Genomic DNA, 21,440 nt, shown 5'->3' with positions numbered 1-21,440 from the left:
GTGACGGATCCTTTCCTCTGTTCTTAGAACGTTGCCATAAATCAAATCATGTATGCCTTACTGCCTTAAATTGCACACTCCTTGCCTCATGGGGCTCAGACACATCACAACCTGAATGCTTCACTGTCGCCTCTTCTGGGCCTCCAAGGAATTGACCTCTCCTGAGCTAGGAATAAGCCTACAATTAAATTAAGCCTTCAGGAGTTAGAGGTGACAGCCACTAGGGTGACCAACTCATCCCAGTTTCCCCAAAACTTTCCCCAGTTTTAGCAATGAAAATCTCATCTCCAGGGAAACCTCTCAGTCCCAGGCTAAAGGGGACAATGGGCCATCCTGGCTGCTACCAGCTTGGCTGATGTCCCATCCTCTTAGAGTCCAAATGACTTCAAATTTATGAAAAAACAAACCTGGTTGAATAGAACCTGAGTAATACTAATAATGATATCAAACAATACATATGAAACAATTACCGTGTGCTAGACAGTGTTGCAAGTAGTCTATTCATGTAGACTCATTTAACCAGTCATAATAACTCTAACTCCCTGTCATGGATGAGAAAACTGAGGCCAAGGGCAATTAAATAACTTGCCCAAGATTACAGAGCTAGTATGTAGTAGAGCTGGGATTGAAAGTCAGGTAGTCTGGCTTCAGAGAGCAACAACTTAACAATTTCACTGTACTGCCTTTTGCTGTATTATGTTCCCCACATAATTTTTATTCTTCAAATGTTGCACCCTCTTCTCCCATTTCTTATCTCTGTTGTCCCCGCTGCTCATATCTCAGCTCCAATTCCCTTATAAATCTCTTCTTACTTCTATTCTATTCTTCTTTCATTCGACAAACACTGCTGTTGTGCCTACTGTGTGCCGGGCTGCTCTCAGGAGTTCTCAGTCTAGAGGAGGTACCAGACATATAAATAGCCAATAGCATAGTGAAGAAGTTCCCAAGTGTTCTCAGTTCATGGTGCCTCTAGCATCTCCATAATATTTCACAGTACCCCGAGGTCAAAAGAAATACCTAATGGTTTTATTTTTTAGTTTAATTCCAAACAACTGAATAGTAGTAGTAAATGTGGTTCCTGAAAGATGGGTCTGTGTTTCTCTCAAAAGGTAAAAGATCCTGCAGGACTTTCCTCTGTGTGGCCCTCTAGGGCACCCTGGTTTGGGAACTGTGGCCATAGCAGTTCTGTGGTCAGCTCCTAGAGTGAGTTGCTTGGGTTCAAATCTTGGCCCACCCCTTACAGTGTGAGTTTAGAGGTGTAATGAGGCCTCCCGTTGTCCCAGCACCATTTGTTGATAAGACTATTATTTCCACCAGTTTTCCTCATGGGTAATGCGTATTATAATAGTAGCTATATCATAACAATGTGGCATGAATTTAAATAAAAAACATGTCACGCTCCTGGAAAAAAGGTTGGCATCAAGCGATTAGAATGTAAGTTCCACAAGGGCAGGAATTTGGCTCTGTTTTGTTTATTGTTGTATTATCCAGTGCCTTGGACAGTGCCTGGCACTGTTCTTTTACCTTCTTTTTTTCTCTATTTAAAATAAACTGCAAAAGAGGGCAGTCCTGATTCTGATGTAATTGGCAAGGGGCAAACCTAAAAGGAAGTAGATTTCTACAACGGGTAAAAACTAGGAGTAAGTTGTGGGTTCGGTTCCTGGACGGAAACCTCATTTTCATTATGGGAATAAGGGAGGCACGTAATCCTTGCACCATTGCTCCTGGCGCTTGGTGTATCATACTTTGCAAGCAAGTCTTTTTCTGGGCCTTTCCCTGTGGGTTTTATCAGTGGCTCCCTCCTGTGAGATCTTAAAGTTTCATCAGACTAACTTATAGACCAGACAACATGGGAGGTGTTGGAGAGGGTGGGACCTTCAGCAGTGCCATTTCCTGTGATATACTTGGTGCAGCTGGTATGATAAGGTGAAAAGGCATTTTCCCCAACCCTTACTAAGAGGTGCTAGGTTATCATCATCCCCAGCTTCTATTCTCCATAAGACCCTCTCTGATGAGGTTTTTATAGAAATCCTGTTTTTCTGCCAAGGGTTGACTTTTTTATTTTTTTGCATTCCAATTGCTCTGTCATTTTTCTAGTTTATTTTTTAAATGTACAATTTAGTGGTTTCTAGTATATTCACAATATTGTGCAACCATCACCACTAACTATTTCCATAACATTTTTATCATTCCGAAAAGAAACCCCATATCCACTAGCAGTCATTCTTCATTACCCCATCCCCCCAGTCCCCCAGTCCCTGACAACCATTAATCTACTTTCTGTCTCTATAGATTTGCCAATTCTGGACAGTTCATTCAATGAAATTGTACAAAATGTGGTTGTTTGTATGTGACTTATTTCATTTAGCATGTTTCCAAGGTTCATCCTTGATGTGGCATGTATCAGCCCTGAATTCCTTTTTATTGTTGAATAAAATTCCGTTGTATGGGTATACCAGTATAGCACATTGCATTTATCCATTCATCAGCTGATGGACATTTGTGTTGTTTCCACTTGTGTCTATTACGAAGAATGCTACTATAAACATTTGTTTGTAGAAACGTGTTTCAAACTCTCATTCATATTTCTCATATTTCATTCTCATATTTTAATTCAATACCTAGAAATAGGACTGTGGGATCATTATAACTCTATGTTTAACATTTTGGGTAACTGCTAAACTGTTTTCCAAAGTGGTTGCATCATTTTACATCCCCACCAGCAATGTATGAGGACCCCAATTTCTCCACATCCTTGCCAACATTTGTTATTGCCAGATTTTTTGTTTTTGTTTTTGTTTTTTTAATTACGGCCATCCTAGCGGGTGTGAAGTGGTATCTTATTGTGGTTTTGATTTGCATTTTCCTGATAGCTAATGACGTTGAACGTCTTTTCATGTGCTTTTTGGCCATTTGTATACCTTCTTTGGAGAAATATCTATTTAAATTCTTTGTCTCTTTTAAAACTGGATTATCTTTCAATTGTTAAGTTGTAAGTGATCTCTGTGTATTCTGGATACAAGTCCTTTGTCAAATATATGATTTGCAAACATTTTACATCATTTTGTGGATTGTCTTTATTTTCTTGATGGTGTCCTTTGAAGTATAAAATTTTTAATTTAAATGATGTCCAATGTATTTGCTTTTGTTTGTTTTGTTGCTTGTGCTTTTGGGGTCAAATCTAATAAACCATTGCCTAATCCTATATCATGACTATTTACTTCTATGTTATCTTTTACAAGTTTCATACTTTTGGTTCTTACATTTAGGTCTTTAATACATTTTAAGTTAAATTTGTATATGGTGTGAAGTAGGGGTCCAACTTAATTCTTTTGCACGTAGGTATCCCGCTGTTCCAGCAACATTTGTTGATAAGACTATTATAGAGATCCGTCGTTGACTCTCTTGGCACCCTTGTTGAAAAGTCATTTGACCATAAATACAAGAAGACTCTCAATTCTTCTTCCTTTTTTTTGAGATGAAGTTTCGCTCTTGTTACACAGGCTGGAGTGCAATGATGCGATCTGAGCTCACCACAACCTCCACCTCCCAGGTTCAAGCGATCCTCCCTCCTCAGCCTCCCAAGTAGCTGGGATTACAGGCATGCGCCATCACGCCCAGCTTATTTTGTATTTTTAATAGAGACAGGGTTTCTCCTGGTTGGTCAGGCTGGTCTTGAACTCCCGACCTCAGGTGATCCACCCACCTTGTCTTCCCAAAGTGCTGGGATTATAGACGTGAGCCACCGCACCCGGCCGAGGACTCTCAATTCTATTCCATTGACTACTGTCTGTCCATCTTTGTACCCGTACCATCCTGGCTTGATTATTGTAAGCTTACATTTTAAAATGGAAAAGTTTAAGTTCTCCAAGTTTGTTCTTCTGTTTCAAGATTTTTTTCAACTATTCTGGGTTCTTTGAATTTCTATATGAATTTTAGGATCAGTTTATCAATTCCTGCCAAAAAAAAATAGCAGCTGGGATTTCTCTAAGGATTATGCTGTTAAATTTGGGGAGTATTGCCGTACATCAGTTTGGGGAGTTTTACCTTTTTACAATATTAAATCTTCTAATGAAATGTCTTTCCATTTAGTTAGGTCTTCTTTACTTTCTTTCAATAATGTTTTATTTTATAGCTTTCCATGTCCAAGTTTTGTACTTCTTTTGTTAAATTTATTCTAAGCATTTTGTTCCCTGTGATGCTATTGTAAATGGCATTGTTTTCTTAATTTTATGTTCAATTATTCATTGGAATTGTTTTCTTAATTTCATGTTCAATTATTCAAATCAATTGTAGAAATACAATTGATTTTTGTTTATTGATCTTGTATCCTGTAATCTTGTTGAACTTGTGTATTAGTTCTAATAATTGTGTGAGTGTGTGTGTGTGTGTGTATGTGTGTGTGTACTTTGGGATTTTCTACATATGAGATCATGTCATCTGTTAAGAACTAATTGGCTTTTGGATGTTGAATTAACCAGTCAGAAGTCCTGTCTGCACTGGAGTGGCAGTAGTCTTGCCTGTGAGCAGCAAGATGAGCAGATGGGCATCTTGCTATTTAGGGGAAAAGGAGGGTTTTCATCTGAGAGTATTTACTGGAATGTTGGATTAAGCACCAGTTCTTGAATAGAGATTTTGCTCCAGGGGACGTTTGGCATTACCTGAAGACAATTTTGGTTGTCACAGCTTGGGGGGCAGGAGCAGGACAATAGCCACAGATGCTGCTGAATATCCTGTAACACACAGGAAACCCCCCAGAAAAATAATTATCGTGCCCAAAATATCGGTAGCACTGAGGTTGAGAAACCCTGGATTAAAGGAATAGCTTCTAAACATGGCCTCTTCTCTCACTGACTTGAGCCACTCTTCTCAAAGCTGCAGGATTCTAAAGAAGAAATATGGAGTGAAGTTTAGGGAATGAGTTCTCAGCCCACAGGGGCTGCCTGATGAAAGTAGAGATGGTGTCCTAGGCCCTGGGTCAGCAACTCCATGTACAATTGGACCAAGTAGGGCACTATCTTCTGCACAGCAGAGATCAACACTTGGCACAGAACACACACCCCTCTGCCCCCACCACCCTGACATTGCAGCTGCCAGTGGCCAAATGTGATAATTACTATGGCACCAACAGAGGATATGAGGTTTTGTGGTGCTTGATGCTAATACGTCTGATGGGGGAACTCTTTAAGAAAAAGAATACAGCATTAGACACAGGGTCTTGTAGGACTCGTGCAAGTGAGGTGCCTGAAAACTGCCTCAGAGCAGAAGTACAGACTGTAGTGGGACCCCCTGTAAATTGATTCATCTTTCCTGTTTTTCTGAAGAACTCTAGCTAATTTGCATTAAGGAAAATATAAGCAGCATGGTGTGTTTTACTTCCTTACTCTTTTTTTTTTCCAACGTCTTCTCTGTTGAAAACAATCTAAAGTTCTGTAGTTTGGCTTTAAGATCGAAGTTGGCAGTTGCAGGGAGATAAACAACAGCCCTAGACACTCAAAAGCAGGTGCTAAGTGGTTAGTCAGTACAACAAATGGCTTTTATAATATATATTTCCAAATGTTGCATGATGAATTTAGTACCTAAGAAGTAGGCTTTGTAGGTACAAATGAGTCAGGTAACCCATATTGCAATAAAAGCAATGATATATGCATTTTATAGTGCAAAGCATTATTTCACAGTTATATAGCGCTTTGTATCTGTTAAATGTTTTCTAACCTTTAATTGTTTCTGTTAATGATCTAGTGAGACCAATCCTGGTGGGTACCAGCATCACTTGAAAGGTGAGAGAAAAAGGCAGAGGCTACAAAAAATGATCTAAAGGGCAGAAAGACACAAATGCCATAGGAAGACAGACTCCAAGCAGTGGGAATATTGGAGAAATCCAAAGGCAAATATAACTGAAATGAATGCAATTGTAACCAGCATAGAAACCTGAATTTCTAGGCTGTAGCGAGGGGGTATCTTTCAGAGATTGAGACGTCATAATCAATGAAAGGACATATTACTTATCTCACTTAGAAATAAGCACATGGGGCTGGGTGCAGTGGCTCACACCTGTAATCCCAGCACTTTGGGAGGCTGAGCGGGGCAGATCACAAGGTCAGGAGATGGGGACCATCCTGGCCAACATGGTGAAACCCTGTCTCTACTAAAAATACAAAAATTAGCTGGGCATGGTGGTGCGTGCCTGTAATCCCAGCTACTTGGGAGGCTGAGGCAGGAGAATAACTTGAACCAGGGAGTCAGAGGTTGCAGTGAGCTGAGATCACGGCACCGCAATCGAGCCGGGCGACAGAGAGAGACTCTGTCTCAAAAAAAAAAAAAAAAAGAAAAAAAGAAAAGAAAAGAAAAAAAGAAGCACATAGAACATGAGGAGGTAGTATTTGGCCAAATTTACAAATGACCGGGCCATAACTAACTACTATGAGAGTGCAGAATTCCCTCTCAGTGAATGTCAGAGAGGAAACTGGAAACTCAGGCCTTCTGCTTGCAAATTTCTTTAGTGTCACTGTCCCTCAAGGAGTCTAGGGAGGGCAGCTTGGACCTGAGTCAAGACAACCACACATACATCACACCTATCTCACTGACTGCTCAGAGCCTAGAGTACTTCCACAAACTACCAACTCCTCTATGGTCAGTTCAGAATCAATTGAAACATTTAGACTCATTCTGAGCTGCTCAAATTCCAGCACTGTAGTTATTCACGTTTAGAAAATAATAAGGGCTGGCACTTAGTACTAAGTGCCAGGCCCCATCCTAAGTACTTACAGACATTAACTCTTTTAATCTTCATAACAACTTTGTGAGATAAGAGCCAAGTTGACAGATGAGAAAAGTGAGGCCCGGAAGAGTTAAGTAACATGCCCAGGGTCACATAGCTGGTAAACAGCAGAATCTAGATTTGAACCCTGTGCAGTCCCTTTCCAGAATCTGTGCTGTAATTGCTTCTCTATAATGCCTTATTAAGAGCCTTATTTAAGGCCGGGCGCGGTGGCTCAAGCCTGTAATCCTAGCACTTTGGGAGGCTGAGGTGGGCAGATCACAAGATCAGGAGTTCAAGACCAGCCTGGCCAACGTAGTGAAACCCCGTCTCTACTAAAAATACAAACAATTAGCTGGGAGGCAGGAGAATCGCTTGAACTCGGGAGGCGGAGGTTGCAGTGAGTGGAGATTGCACCACTGCACTCCAGCCTGGGCAACAGTGAGAGACTGTCTCAAAAAAAAAAAAAGCCTTTAAATCTTATTCATTGTATTATTTACATATCAAATGTCAATGAATATTTCAATATTTCAAAAGCATCAGAACAATGGACAATGACCAAGCTATTTTTAAAGATCAGAAAAGAATTTATATATTCTTGCCTCCAGGATTACTCACACAATATATGTACTTCTTTTGTGCTTCTAAGTTCTTTTGGAACTTATCGTACTTGTTATTTTCTTGGTTATAGTTGGTTGGTGTTCCTGGGGCAAGTCCAGAAAACATTTCTGTTTTCCTCCATTGATATGTGATGTACCTGAGACAGGATCCTTTAAAAAAAAGTCCTTGTATCCCTGGAGTATCTAGGAGATGCAATGCTTCATACGATGTAGGCATTTAATAAATATTAATTGAATTAGTGGTGTTTTAGTCTATTCAGGCTGCAATAACAGAATATCAAAGACCGAGTGGCTTGTAAACAACCGTTTATATTTATTTCTCACAGTTCTAGAGGCTGGGAAGTCCAAGATCAAGACATCAGCAGAATGTGAAGACCCACTTCTTTGTTTGTAGATGGCTCCTTCTCACTGTGCCCTCACATAGAGATAGGAAGGGGTGAGGGTGCTCTCCGGGGTCTCTTTTATAAGGTCAGTAATTCCATTCATGAGGGTCTGCCCTCATAACCTAATCACCTCCCAAAGGCCTTACCTTCTAATACTACTACCTGGGGGATCAAGTTTCAAAACATGAATTTTAGGGGACATAAACATTCACTCTATAGGAATGAGTTAAATGCAGTCCAGGCAACAGATTGGTCCTAATTTGATAGTGGATTAAAAGATCACGTTGTACCAACACTGTACAATGGAATTTTTTTGCAATGAAGGAACTGTTCTATATCTGTATTTTCTAATGTGGCAGTCACTAGCCACATGTAGCTACTGGGCACTTGAAATGTGGCTAGTGTGACTGAGAAACTAAATATTTAATTTTATTTAATTTTGAATTACCTAAATTTAAATTAAAGTAGCCACAGCTTTAGAGTATTGGGTTTTTAACCAAATAAATTATTTCAGTTCCATGAATATAAAACCACTTCCTGAGACTCAGAGTCTTTGTTAAAGTCAAGGATCCAATCCTAGCAATCACAGATAAGAGAGTAAATTATATTACCTTCTAAATGGTTTAGTGATATTGTGCATTCAGAGTTCCTCAAGCAAAATGAAGGATAGTCACTGAAGCACTGCTTGTCATAAAAGATGATCTAAAAGCTCATATGTAGGAAACAGATAAAATAAACCAGGATACTGTGGTAGGCAGAATAGTGTCCCCTGCAAAGATGTCCACATCCTAATCCCGGGAATCTGTGAATACCTTCCATGGCAAAAGAGACATTTCAGCTGGATCTTGATTAAGCATCTGGACATGGGGAGACTATTATCCTGGTTGATCCAGGAGGGCCCAATGTAATCACAAGGGAGGAGTGTAAGAGCCAGAGAGAATGAGATGTGATGACAGACACAAAAGTCACAACGATAGGATTGGTGAATGGGGGCCATGAGCCAAGGAATGGGGGCAGCCTCTAGACATTGGAAAAGGCAAGAAAATGGATTTTGCCCTAGAGCCTCCAGAAAGAATGCATTCCTGAGGACACCTCGATTTCCACCCAGTGAGACCAATTTTGGACTTCTCACTTCCAGAACCATAAGATAATAAATATGTATTGTTTTAAGCCACAATATTCGCAATGGTTTGTTATGGAAACAATAGGAAACTAATACAAGTACTTCCACATATAATGGAATACAACGCAGCCATTTAACAGAATGAAGAGCACCTACACATTTTCATACGGGAAGATCCCCATGACGTATTATTAAATGAAACACATTAAAGTCTCAGACAATGTGAATATCATGCTACCCCTTGGTTACAAGGGACATACACATGGGCCTGTACGTATCTGGAAGGCAAAACAAAAAGTGAGTAATAGTGACTGCCTCTGGGAAGGGGCACACTGGGGAGGGAGTGGTCAGAATTGGAAGCGGGACTTACTTTTCATGATGTACTTTTCAGAACTGTAATACATTTTGAGAACTGTCACTAGATAGAAAATCCATTTCCACATCAAATTCTTTGGGGAAGAAGATAAAGAAACCATACTAAGCCCTATTGGCATTTTGCAGGCATGTTACTCTAAACTTCAGGGGAGAGTAGATAAATAACATTCTCTGACACGAGCAATTAGCTGCTGGGTGTGAGAACTGCTAATCTCTGGTCCAGAGCAGCCAGACTTGAAGTTCAGATGGAAGCTGAGAGAGAATTAAAAAAAAAACCCAAAGTCATTGTGGAAAAAGTAGGCACTAACTCCATGTTCAGGATCAAACCATTCAGAAAAAGAGATAGTGCTTCTTTCCCAGAAGTATGTGAAGAAGAAATGTTAGAAGGAGATTTTCGTTTTGTGCGCTAGAAACCTAGAACAGGAAATTTAAGAAGGTGGTGAGGTTATAGCTAATTATGAAGTGTGAACTGGAGAAGAAATGAAACAGTCTGCAGCCACTCCTGCAAACTGGAGCAGTTATCACCCAAGGCAGCCAACTGTCCCTGCAGGGCTGCAGGCCTCACTCTCAGCAGGGACTACACCCCTCTCTCTGCAGTGAGGCATCTCCCCCAGCCAGGATTTCACCAGGAACCCTGGCTAATGTGGCCCCAGGAGGGAGGAGGCGCCTAATTGTGGGTGAAGGGTAGGAGTTAGCACTGGGACAAGGTGAAGGCACGTATTTTCAGTTTAGGTTTGAGGTATAGGGAAACAACTTGTGAAATCCAATATCAATTTGGGAAGTATGGGTGATGACCCCCGACCCATGAGATCTAGGGCTTCTCAAAGCAAAGGAGAAAAGGAGAAAACCCCCCAGGTGCTCAAAAGCACAGTTACTTAACATTTGAATCATTTAACCCTTCTGAACCTCAGTTCGTTTATCTGTGAGATGGGAATAAACGGTACCTGCCTCTGTGGGAGGGTAAACAGAGCTTTCTGTGCTTGGCAAACACTCTGGCACCTGCCGGCTTACTTAGGGCTTGCATGGGCTTGGCGTTCACTATCTCTCATGCTGTGGGCTTCTCCAAGTGTTTTCATACCATTAGCTCCCTTTCCCTCCATGACGGCCCTGTAACGTAGGCTCCTTCTTTTCCTCATTTTACAAATGGAGAAACTGAGGCACGGAGCACTCAAACAGCTTGCTGTGGTTATCTCGGAATTCAGTAGCAGAAGTGTGGCTTCACCCTTGGCAATTTGGCATTACAGGTTGTATGTTTAACCACTAAGACATACACGTCTTGTAGTAAACGGGAAAAAATGGTAGTTGTGGCTGTGGTGATAATGACAGCAAAGTAAAGGTACCATTATTTATCCCCATCATGCAGATAAATAAAATGAGGTTCAGAAGGATTGATTCAATTGTTAAGTAACTGTGCTTTTGTGACCTAACTTGTGGGGCTCAGGTCCCCATCAGAGGAATCCAGACAAATGTCACTAGGCCTGCTCCAGTGACAGTTCCTGTGTGGCTGGTGGGAGCAAGAAAAAATGGGCCCCCTGAGCACATTTGGAGATGACAGATCTAGGGGCAGCCTGACGTGCCCTGTGCTGCTGGGACTCCTCACTCACATTCCCAGGGTAGAGGAGGCCTCAGTGGGCTTGGTGTGACTTTGGAACAGGGCTCTGAGTGGAGCAGCATTATGACAACACATGCAGGACCCTGCAAGAACCCCTGGATTCTCCAGGTGGGGCTGCCAGGGACAGACATTGACACTTGTAGGAATGGAAGCCATTATAGGGCCCCCAGCAATTCCCTGTCTTGTTTGGACCAGAAGGAGGAGATTTAGCCTGAGCAACATGGTGAGACCCTATGTTTACAAAAAATTAGCTGGGTATGGTGGCTTGTGCCTGTAGTCCCAGCTACTCAGGTGGCTGAGGTGGGAGGATCGCTTGATTCGAGGAGATCGAGGTTGCAGTAAGCCATGATTGCCCCTCTCCACTCCAGACGGGGTGACAGAACAAGACCCTGTCTCAAAAAAATAAAAATAAAACAGAAAATGAAGGAGGAGATTGTGGGAGTCAGGACACAGAAAATGAGCTTCATTCCTCATTACCACTTTGAGTATACACCTAGCATGGTGGTCCAGGGAAACACCTGCTCTAGTTTCCATTGAAGTCTATAACACACTATAACAGCGCTTTGAGTTAAATGTAGTTTGAAAAGCTGGCTCCAGCTCAGCTTAAGAAACCACAGGAGAGTGAAAAGTTTATAAGCTATACCATTACTAAAATGACTCTGGTATTAAGGGATATAGCTCAGATAATTAATTTAATAACTGGCAGAGCAAAAAAAAGTTCTTGATTTTGGAAATGGTCTGATTCATTTACCAAGCAGGTAGATCAGCCCTGCTTAAGTTTAAACTCATTTCTTCCTTTTTTGTTTTTTTCCCCCTGCTTTAATCTTCAGTTTGCTTTAGTTTTCTGTATCTATAAATTGCTTTTGGGAAATTGTACTCACAAAATGTTTCAGTATGCAGTTGACCTGTTTTAGTTCCTACAAACATTTTCTATTGGTAAACACTTTTTTTTATTAATAAAACGATGAGGCTGGGCGCAGTGGCTCATGCCTGTAATCCCAGCACTTTGGGAGGCCTAGGCGGGTGGATCACCTGAGGTCAGCAGTTCAAGACCAGGCTGGCCAACATGGCGAAACCCCATCTCTACTAAAAATACAAAAATTAGCCAAGTGTGGTGGCGCACTCCTGTAATCCCAGCTACTCAGGAGGCTGAGGCACGAGTATCACTTGAACCCAGGAGGTGGAGACTGCAGTAAGCTGAGATCACACCACTGCACTCCAGCCGGGGCCAGAGCAGGACTCCATCTCAAATAAAATAACATAACATAAAATAATGATTTGGGGAACAAAATTTTAAAAAGGGGAAATGGAGTGGGAGATAGAAAGGGAATGGGAGTGAGAGCTGCCACAGTGAGCATTTTTGCTGCTCCTTTCACAAGTGCAGTGATCTTTCCAATGGTGGTGGTGTTGGGGTGGGGGTGGGGGAAAGAGGGTGGAGAATCATCCTTAGTCTGAGGCCAGGTGGAAAAAGGCAGATGCAGTGAGAAAGTGCCTATGGGCTGATGACAGAATCCTTTACAGCTTCCAAAAGCTCTCGACATTTAGATTCAGGGGGCTTGATTAACTCAACAGGCAGGCCTGCAAGTCTCTAGGGTAAAAGCAGGGGGAAGTTTCGTATTTGTTGCAACACATTGTCATGGATCACTCCTTCCTGCTATGACAACAGGCAGGGAGCTCTGCTATGATGACCCTCAGACCTCAACTTTTGATTCCACCCTGTGGACTTCCCGACGCTACCTTAGAGTAGAAGGACCTGCCCTGCCACTCAGCCCCTTGTTCTATAGTGGATAATTTGGCTTGGCAGAGCCTTTAAAGCTTAGTCTTTCATGACCCAGGTCAGGGAGCCTGAGTGAGTTGTATGCATTTCTGTTGTATAGACTTCTGTTCCAAGTCAATTGTAAAATGTTGAACAAATCAAATGGGGGATTACATTGAATGAATATTTAGAATACCAGAATTGCATTCGACTATGAGTAATACAAATCTGAGAAGCAGTGGTTTAAATAAATAGGAATTTATTTTTCTCACACACAACGAGAATTCCAGAAGTAGGCAGTGCTGGGCTGATAGGGCAATTGCAGTTCATCAATCTAGTATGATCCACATTCTCACATTCATAAGATAGCTACTGTTGCTCCGGCTGTCATGTTGTGCTCTTGGAAACAGAAGGGAAGATGGGCCAAGTGAAAACAATGCCCAGTAGTTGAGTCAGTATGTTTTTTATTCTCATCCTGTTACTAAGGAGCAAGGTGAGAATAGATATTGGATAGGCACCTAGAAGTCTCTGCCACAAGATGTATATGAATGCACGAAAATGTGAATTCTTGAAAGTGCCAACTGTAACATGGCAGGAACAAGTTCATAGAAAAATTCAGAAACTCCTGAGCTCTGTTCATTAGCTCCCAAAGGCTGGCAGGTAACACTAACTGATAATAATCCCACTAATCTAGCATATATGACAAGCCTACCTACAGACAGTGAAAGACATTGCCACTGGAAACATGGACTCCAATTCATGAGGCTGCCACCCCCTACTCCAAGGATAGAACCCATGAAAGGCAACATAGGAATATGTTAGGTAGTACCTGAGTGAACATGCATAGTTTTGTCAGTTTGCATGTTTTGCTTTTTAGGAGATATACATTTAAATGAAAATATTAAGTCAATTAAATTTATATCAACTCTCTCCTCCATCTTCAAGTAAATCTTTCATGCTTAACAAGCTGGTGCCACTAGTCAACTAAGTCCAATGAAATAAGTTTTTTTGATAACTGAGGCATTATTTTAAGTAAAAATTAATATAAAATTAACCAGCAATAGTATAAATAATACCAAATCTTACTGCATATCCATCACCTCATGGATTTATCATTTCTTTGTGGTGAGAACATTCAAAATCCTTTCTTCTGGCTATTTTGTGATATACAATATAATATTGTTAGCCAGAATCACTGTGTAACAGAATGCCAGAACTTATTCCTCCTATCTAACTATAATTTTGTACCCATTGACCAATCTCTCCCCATCTCACCCTCCCCTTTTTCCTCCCCAGCCTCTGCAGCTGGGGAGATCAACTTCCTTAAGTTGCACTTGAGTGAGATCATGCAATATTTGTCTTTCTGTGCCTGGCTTATTTCACTTAGCATAATGTCTTCTGGGTTCATCCATGTTGCTGCAAATGACAGGATTTCATTCTTTCTTTATAGCTGAATAGTATTCCACTGTTTATAGGTAACACATTCTCTCTCTCTCTTCTGCTCTCTTTCTTTCTTTCCTCAGGCTATTGCAATGAAAATACCATATTTTCTTTATTCCTTCATTCCTTGATGATATTTATGAAAAATGCTTAACATCAGTAATCATCAGGGAAATGCAAATCAGACCACAGTGAGATATAACTTTACCCCAACTAGAATGGCTACTAGCAAAAAGAAAAAATAACAAATGGTGGCATGCAGGTGAAGGGGAACTCTTATCGCTATTGATGGAAATGCAAATTAGTACAGCCATTATGGAAAACAGTGTGGAGGTTCCTCAAAAAATTCAAAATAGAACTACCATATGATCTAGCAATCTCACTACTGGATATATATTCAAAGGAAATGAAATCAGCATGTCAAAGAGATATGCGCACTCTCATGTTTATTGCAGCACCATTTGCAACAGCCAAGACATGGAATCAACCTAATTGTAATAAAATGTTTTTGACTGGCTGTTATTTGTGCAGAAAACAACCTTCCCTACCATTACCCACCCCTTCATCATTTGCCCCCCCACACACTCCTTCCCCTTCTCTCTCCACACATGACTGCCATATCAGGAAGGAAAATTTTGATGGGGGTGCTGAGATATTCCTATTTCATGGAGAATAGGTTACAGCCAGCAGGTACTCAGGCACTTTTGTTACACTTGCATTTAAAAAAAACTTAAGAGAATTGAAATGTATTTAGCCTATAGACAATGTAAATGTAAAAGGCTCTGGGAACTCTGAACCAGTGATGGTGAGTATGTAAATTGCTAAGCTGGCTCGGAAAATGGTTTGGCAGAATCTATGAAAACTGAACATAGGCGTATTTACGGACTATACTCATGGCCATCAACTTAGTGACACAGCTTTATCCACAGCCTCACGCCAATGCCAGGACCCAGTTCAGCCTTCCTGCCTCTGTGATGGCTCAGGTCTCCCTCCTGCAGTGTTCTCTCCATCAGCTGATCATAGGTGGTCCCACCTTAGCCCATCAGAGGCAGGTTCACTGCTGTGAACCTCATTAAAAAAGATTAAGAGACGGGCAGCTTCCTCCAGTAAGCTCCCTGAACACTATGTAAACTTTCCCACCCCTTCTCCAGAAACCTTCAAACTCTGTATCATTTAGGATAATGACTTCGCCGTCACTATCTAGTACTCTAAAGCCCAACACAAACTGGCTTATACAATAAAGATGAATCACTGGATCATGTAACAGCATAAGACCAACGTGGGCTTTGGGCACAGTTCTATCAGAATTCCAGTTCAGTTTCTCTGAGATCTCTTAATTCTGCATTCTGCCAAGTTGGCTTTGTCCTCAGGCAGAAGTCCCTCATGGTCTTAAGATGTCTGCCAGCATCAACTGGGCTACGTGCTTCCTTCTCAAATGATAAGAAGAGAGCAGGCAGAGGCTTATCTGGATAGAAATGCAGATAACCACTGGATAAAAGCACTGAACTTAACTCTGATGGGACTTTCTGGCCACATGCCCACCTCCCGAACCAATCATTTTGGCAGCAAGATTCCAGCTGCCTGCAGTGCTGAAGCCTCAAGCCCTAGTCAAGCAAACCAAAACCAAAACTAAAACAATACCTGTTGCACTCCCCCCAGAATAATAAGTGTCTTACTATGTCTACATCACTCAGAAGGGTCCACTCAAATGGCTCATCTCAAAATAAAGCAGGTATGCTCCAAAGTGATTTCACATCTTCATGATGTCTCTGAAATAGCAATGGTTGACAACTTAAAGTTTCCTCCCTATAACTTAAAGCTCTACCTTATTGCTGCACCAGCCTGTAACACCCACACCCTTCTCCAAAAAATCAAAGAAAATTTAGTTAGATGACCACATGCCATAGCATTTGTAGCACTGGATTCAGAGATAATAATGATAATACCTCATCTTTGATTAGCATTTTATAGTTTCCAGTGTGTTTTCACATGCAGCATTTCATTTCATCCCCAGAAGCTGGGTAGGATCTGTACTGTTAAATCCAGTGTGTAGGTAAGAAGTCTCAGAGAGACTGAGTGACTTCCCCAAGGTTAATGATCTGTAAGTCAAAAAATAGAGTTGGCATTAGGATCTAGGTCTTTTCGATGCTGGACTTTTGTGAAGACCTTTCCTCTGATCAGTCTTTTGGATCAGGGTATAGAATAAGGAAGATAAGATGCAAATTTGATTGTGGTTCATAAGAATAAGAGACTGAGTAGGGATTATCTGAAGAGAGGATTCCTCTGCTGCAGGACTTTGGTGCACAGGAGAGAGAAGACAGAAAAGATCCTCTCAGCCTTTGCTTCTGCCCCTTTTTAGTTTTCTTTCCTAATTTCCTTTTTCTTGTTTCTTTCCTGAATTATTGTCTCTGGTGCAACTTTCTCAAACACAATACCGAACACTCTCCATGCCTAGGCCCCATTCAAGAATCAATCTTGAAAAGGCACCATATTTTCAGGGGGTTGGGGATGGCAGGGAAAGGCAGCAGGGGAGGGATATTGGATTGGGACGGGGAGAGTGAGGATGGGAATGGCGGAAGAGAGAGAAAGAAATTGGAGTCATGAGTTGGCTCTAACCCTGAAGACCGTTATCTAAAATGTTTGATTACTATACACATTTTTAAAGAGAATACCTTGCAAGTAATGTGACTTTGAGCTGCAGACACAGGAGAGGGAATACGCAAAGACTGGGCCATCCAAACCTACCAACTGAAGGGTTTTGTTAATTATTTTATAGATGAAGACTGGTCAGGCACTATACAACATTATCTTTTACTGCACTCGCTTTAAATAAATTTGTAGTACTTACATAGTCAGCTTGTTGAAAATTTTCTTATGACTCTGATCTGCACTGGGTAATATAGAACGATGTTGAGAACCAAGAAGTGTTAGAACCAGGAAGGCAGTCCTTATCAACTATTTATTCCCTCTGATATGACTGTTTACCTGGGCAGCTCAGATATTATCTTCAAGATGTGTTTAAGGTGCAAATGACCCTTCTTGAATTGTTAACAACAAGAATTAGATTACATCTAATCTCATAGTGATGAGAAATAATTAATCCGGATATTTTTGGGCTGTTGTGGCAATAACAGTAATCTAAGTTGGGCACCGTGGCATGGAAGGAAAAACAGGGGGTGCAAACTGGAAGGTTCATGGGCCAACTGTGGGTTGCAGGTGGAATGTGTTTTCCTTCCAGTGTTTTAAAAGAACAGTTCTCTCCAGGTCACCATTGCCCCACCATTCACACAATACAAAGGTGCATTCACACACCTCTTCTCTCATTGCATCCTGTGTCTGACCCTAAGGCTTCTGAGTTTGAGGCCTTATAAATAAGAAAAGTCATTACATATATAAGGTAATACAGAGAAGAAAGAATCATTTATCTTGGCAAACACATAATGGGATGAAAATTACAGAAAGGCAAATTGAGTTATAAAACCCAGGGGAAAAGTCATTTCCTAGAGAAATGACTGGAATCTGGGTCCATTTTCTGAAAGGCAAAAGTAGCCTCCACATTGGTCCAGATCTGGAAAAGAAAGGATTGAGCTGCAGAGCCCATTGAGATGACGTTTAATGGGACTGTTTGTTCTGTGACTCTGGGAACAAAAATTGCAACAGAAAATATAATTATGCCAAACAATTAGCTGAAAGGCAACATGAGTTAAGTCCTTACAAAACAGGAGACAAAGATAAAGAGCATGACAAAAGCAAAAGGGTCACCTTTCCTCATGAGAGGTGATGCCTGTTTTCCCTACTCCACCCCAAAATCACCAGCAGGAAGGCGCAGAGTGGAGGTTGTCAGGAACAGGGTGAAGAGCAACCCAAGGGTATCTTTTAAAAGTCTGACGTCTCTATAAAGTTTAGTTTTAAAATAAGGTATTTAAGACCAGAAACAAGCTTGGTAACAGTAATGAGAGGACCTCCCAATAGAGAAGCAGAGGGCAAAAGACAAGCCAAGAGCTTCAGTTCCTGCTGGAGGCCTCATGACATCTCCATCATCAATTCCCCATCCTGATTCTCAGTATCCTCACCTAAGTGCATTTGGCAAACTAGGATGCTGTTGCCCCTCTAGCCTAGTTTCTGTGATTTATGTGAGCATGGGCCCGCCCCCAGATTCAAGGGGAGAGAACAAAAGTGTTTTATAATCCACAAATTCAAGTACGGGTAGAATGTTAAGTGCCAGGACTCTGGAGTCACACAGAGCTGAGTTCAATCCTAGTTCCAGCACTTACTAGCTTTAAGGACCTCAGCAAGTTACCTTATTTCCCAGGGTCTTGTTTTTCTCATCCATAGTTTGGGCATAACAGCATTTGTCTACCTCATAGGATTTAAGAACTGCTCTCTGTTAAGGCATCAAGTCCAATAGTAGGCACTCAATGAATGTGGTAATAGTTATTTAAAATAATCACCATAATGAATTTGAACATCTGTGTAAAGGGAAAGGTATCGTAGTCAGTCTACGAAAGGAGAGCTAGTGTCAGATCTCATGTCATTGCTGAATGGCTCCCTGCTTATCTCTGTCCAGTTGAATGGCTTTGCGTCAGCAGAGACTAGTAAACTAGCACCATCAAAACAAATGAGACAAGCATTTTCTAAGTGCCTGTTATTGGCGCAGCACAGTCCCTGTGCTAGACCTTAGAAAGAGGTCTCGTCAAAAGTGTGTCCACAACCACGGGAAGGAATGACTTGTAATCTATCCAAGCTAAGAGATTGAAGACTATCTTTCCTCGATGCTACATTAGAGAGGAACAGTAACAAATTGTTAGAAATTGCTTTAACATTGAAAACTGAAGTCTTAGCACACTGCCTTATCACAGTGCTGAACTATACTCCCATGCAACTTTTATTGAGCAGTGCAGGCCTAAAGATAGTTTCTCTTTGGGAGGCCAAGGTGGACGGATCATGAAGTCAGGAGATTGAGACCATCCTGGCTAACATGGCAAAACCCCGTCTCTGCTAAAAATACAAAAAATTAGCCAGGTGTGGTAGTGGGCGCCTGTAGTCTCAGCTACTCGGGAGGCTGAGGCAGAATTGCTTGAACCTAGGAGGCGGAGGTTGCAGTGAGCCGAGATGGTGCCACTGCACTCCAGCCTGGGCGACAGAGCGAGACTCCGGCTAAAAAAAAAAAAATAAAAGTTTCTTTTCTCAAGGAGGCTACCATCAAGTGCAGAGGCCTCCAAGGAGGAATGCATTCACCCCAGGATGTGGGCCAGGCAATACTCTGCGGTATGGTATGAAGATACTAGGCCTTCTATTCCTGCGTTTTAAAAAGAATTTGATTTATTTCATAACACACATACTACATTTGGTTTTGGTTTAGAGATAGAATCTCACTCTGTAGCCCAGGCTGGAGTGTAGTGGTGTGATCATAGCTCAGTGTATCCTTGAACTTCTGGGTTCAAGTTATTCCCCCCTGCCTCAGCCTCCTGAATAGCCAGGATTACAGGGGTGTACCACCACACCCAGCTAATTTTTTAGTTTTTTGCCAGACATAGGGTCCTGCTATATTGACCAGGCTGGTCTCAAACCCCTGGCTTCAAATGTCCTCCCACCTCAGCCTCCCAAAGTACTGGGATTATAGGCGTGACTCACTGTGCCCAGCCTATAATATACATACTATATGTGAAAAGTAGCACCTGTATATAATTTATAAGTAAATATAAATATTAATGAGATCAAGGTTCAAGTGGATTCTTGAGCAAAAGGTTTGAGAACTACTGGTACACAGGAGATGGAAGACCAGTAAGCCAGCAGTCAGAATCTGATGCAGAGGGAATTTGGCTAGAACACAGATGACAGGCATCCAGCTCAGCAGGGAAGGAAGAGGAGGAAGTTATAGGGAAGGCTTCCTGGAGGAGATGACATGCTGAGTTGCTGCAGAGTATTTGGGGGAGGGAATAGGGAAGAGGGAAAAAGAATGTTCCAGACAGGCTACACAATATTTGCAAAGAAAGGCAAGGTGGTTTTTGTTGAACAAGTGAGCGCATTTTGAAAACTAAATGACAGCATGCGGTGGCTCATACCTGTAATCCCAGCACTTTGGGAGGCCAAGGTGGTTGAGTCCAGGACTGCGAGTCCAGCCTGGGCAAATGGCAAAACTCCATCTCTATAAAAAAATACAAAAAATTAGCTGGGCATGGTGGCGTGCACCTGTAATCCCAGCTACCCAGGAAGCTGAAATGGGAGGATCGCTTGACTCCAGGAGGTCGAGGCTGCAGTGAGCCGTGATCGTGCCACTGTACTCCAGCCTGGGCAACAGAGTGAGATCTTATCTTAAAAAAAAAAAAAAAAAAAAAAAAAGAAGAAGAAGAAAGAAAACTAAAATGATTTGGTACATCTTGAACTGTCAGTACATGTGGGGAAACTGTAGGAGGTAAGGCTGGGATCAATTTTGGTCACTGAAAAGCAGGAAGCCTATTCTGGTAGTGAAAGTTACCACTAAGACATTCTAGCAGGGGAGATGAGATCATGGAGTATTCCCAATTTGATCTTCTAGTCCAATCTCCAGTGATACTTGTCTGAGTCCAGAGGAAACGGACTGCAATAGTGTGAGCTGGTAAAACCTCAAAAAGCTAGAACAAAAAACGTGCTAGTAGCCTTTGAAGTTATAGAAATCCTCAAGACTGTGCATTGCTGGGTGAGAATCAGTGACGTCTAAAAACACATCTTTGGGCAAAAAAGGCTGTGCAGTCTTTTACAAGCATTAGTGGCCTTAGTGGCTCCATTACAGTCAACAGCAACTGAAGTTATCATCTGAGTGAGCCAAAGCTGGAAAGAAGGGAAATAATAGATACCAGAGCAGCCAAGAGGGTAGTACACGGAGTCCAACCAAGCCACCCCTAGCAGGCCCTTAGAATAGATTGAGGAGGACTTTGCAAAGCACCTAGTGCTCTCTCACGTGAGGAGAGACTGGGCTTGTCTTATTCAAATTGTATCCCTCATATCTTGCGCAGTGGAACAGGACTGCAAGGCTGCACAGATCCCAGGGTCACTGTTCATGCAGTTGCCTATATAAATAGAGCCTTCTGGAGTTGTGTAACAGGAGCTTTGCATAGATGTTCAATCAAGATAGGTTAAAGGCAAAAATGAAACAGTAATTGCTTAGCTGCTTCTGTTAACATTATTCTAAAACTCAGGTTGGGGTGGCCTGAGCAGCAGTGGCTCCCATCAGATTTGGGTTTGGAGTTATCATCTGGGTAGTAGTGTGGCACATAATGTAGTGGAATGGATCCAGGATGCTCAATTAGAACTGCAGTGATTGGGTGGGTGTTTTACTACTTTAGTTCTGGAAAAGTCCTTCAAGGAACTGGAAATAAATGCCAAAACTAC

The 21,440-nt window shown here is 41.7% G+C and overlaps 1 long non-coding RNA gene across 1 annotated transcript in view, besides 1 other annotated feature; it reads right to left on the bottom strand.

Moving 5' to 3' along the window:
• The window catches only part of JAZF1-AS1 (JAZF1 antisense RNA 1), a 60,921-nt gene that overhangs the window by 35,491 nt on the left and 3,990 nt on the right, over positions 1-21,440 (bottom strand). The window contains exon 2 of the long non-coding RNA NR_034097.1: positions 20,135-20,217. This is a non-coding gene — a long non-coding RNA (JAZF1 antisense RNA 1). The remainder of the gene's footprint in view (positions 1-20,134; positions 20,218-21,440) is intronic.
• Positions 18,531-18,731: a silencer, noted in NCBI's record as "peak6455 fragment used in MPRA reporter construct". NCBI's record gives its function as "represses an SCP1 promoter by STARR-seq MPRAs in K562 erythroleukemia cells {active_cell/tissue: K562}" and the evidence as "EXISTENCE:reporter gene assay evidence [ECO:0000049][PMID:32103011]".

Source organism: Homo sapiens, chromosome 7 (assembly GCF_000001405.40).
Source record: "Homo sapiens chromosome 7, GRCh38.p14 Primary Assembly".
Classification (NCBI taxonomy): Eukaryota; Metazoa; Chordata; class Mammalia; order Primates; family Hominidae; genus Homo; species Homo sapiens.
Note: the sequence above shows the minus strand (reverse complement) of the source record. Positions and strands in the feature narration are given on the sequence as shown.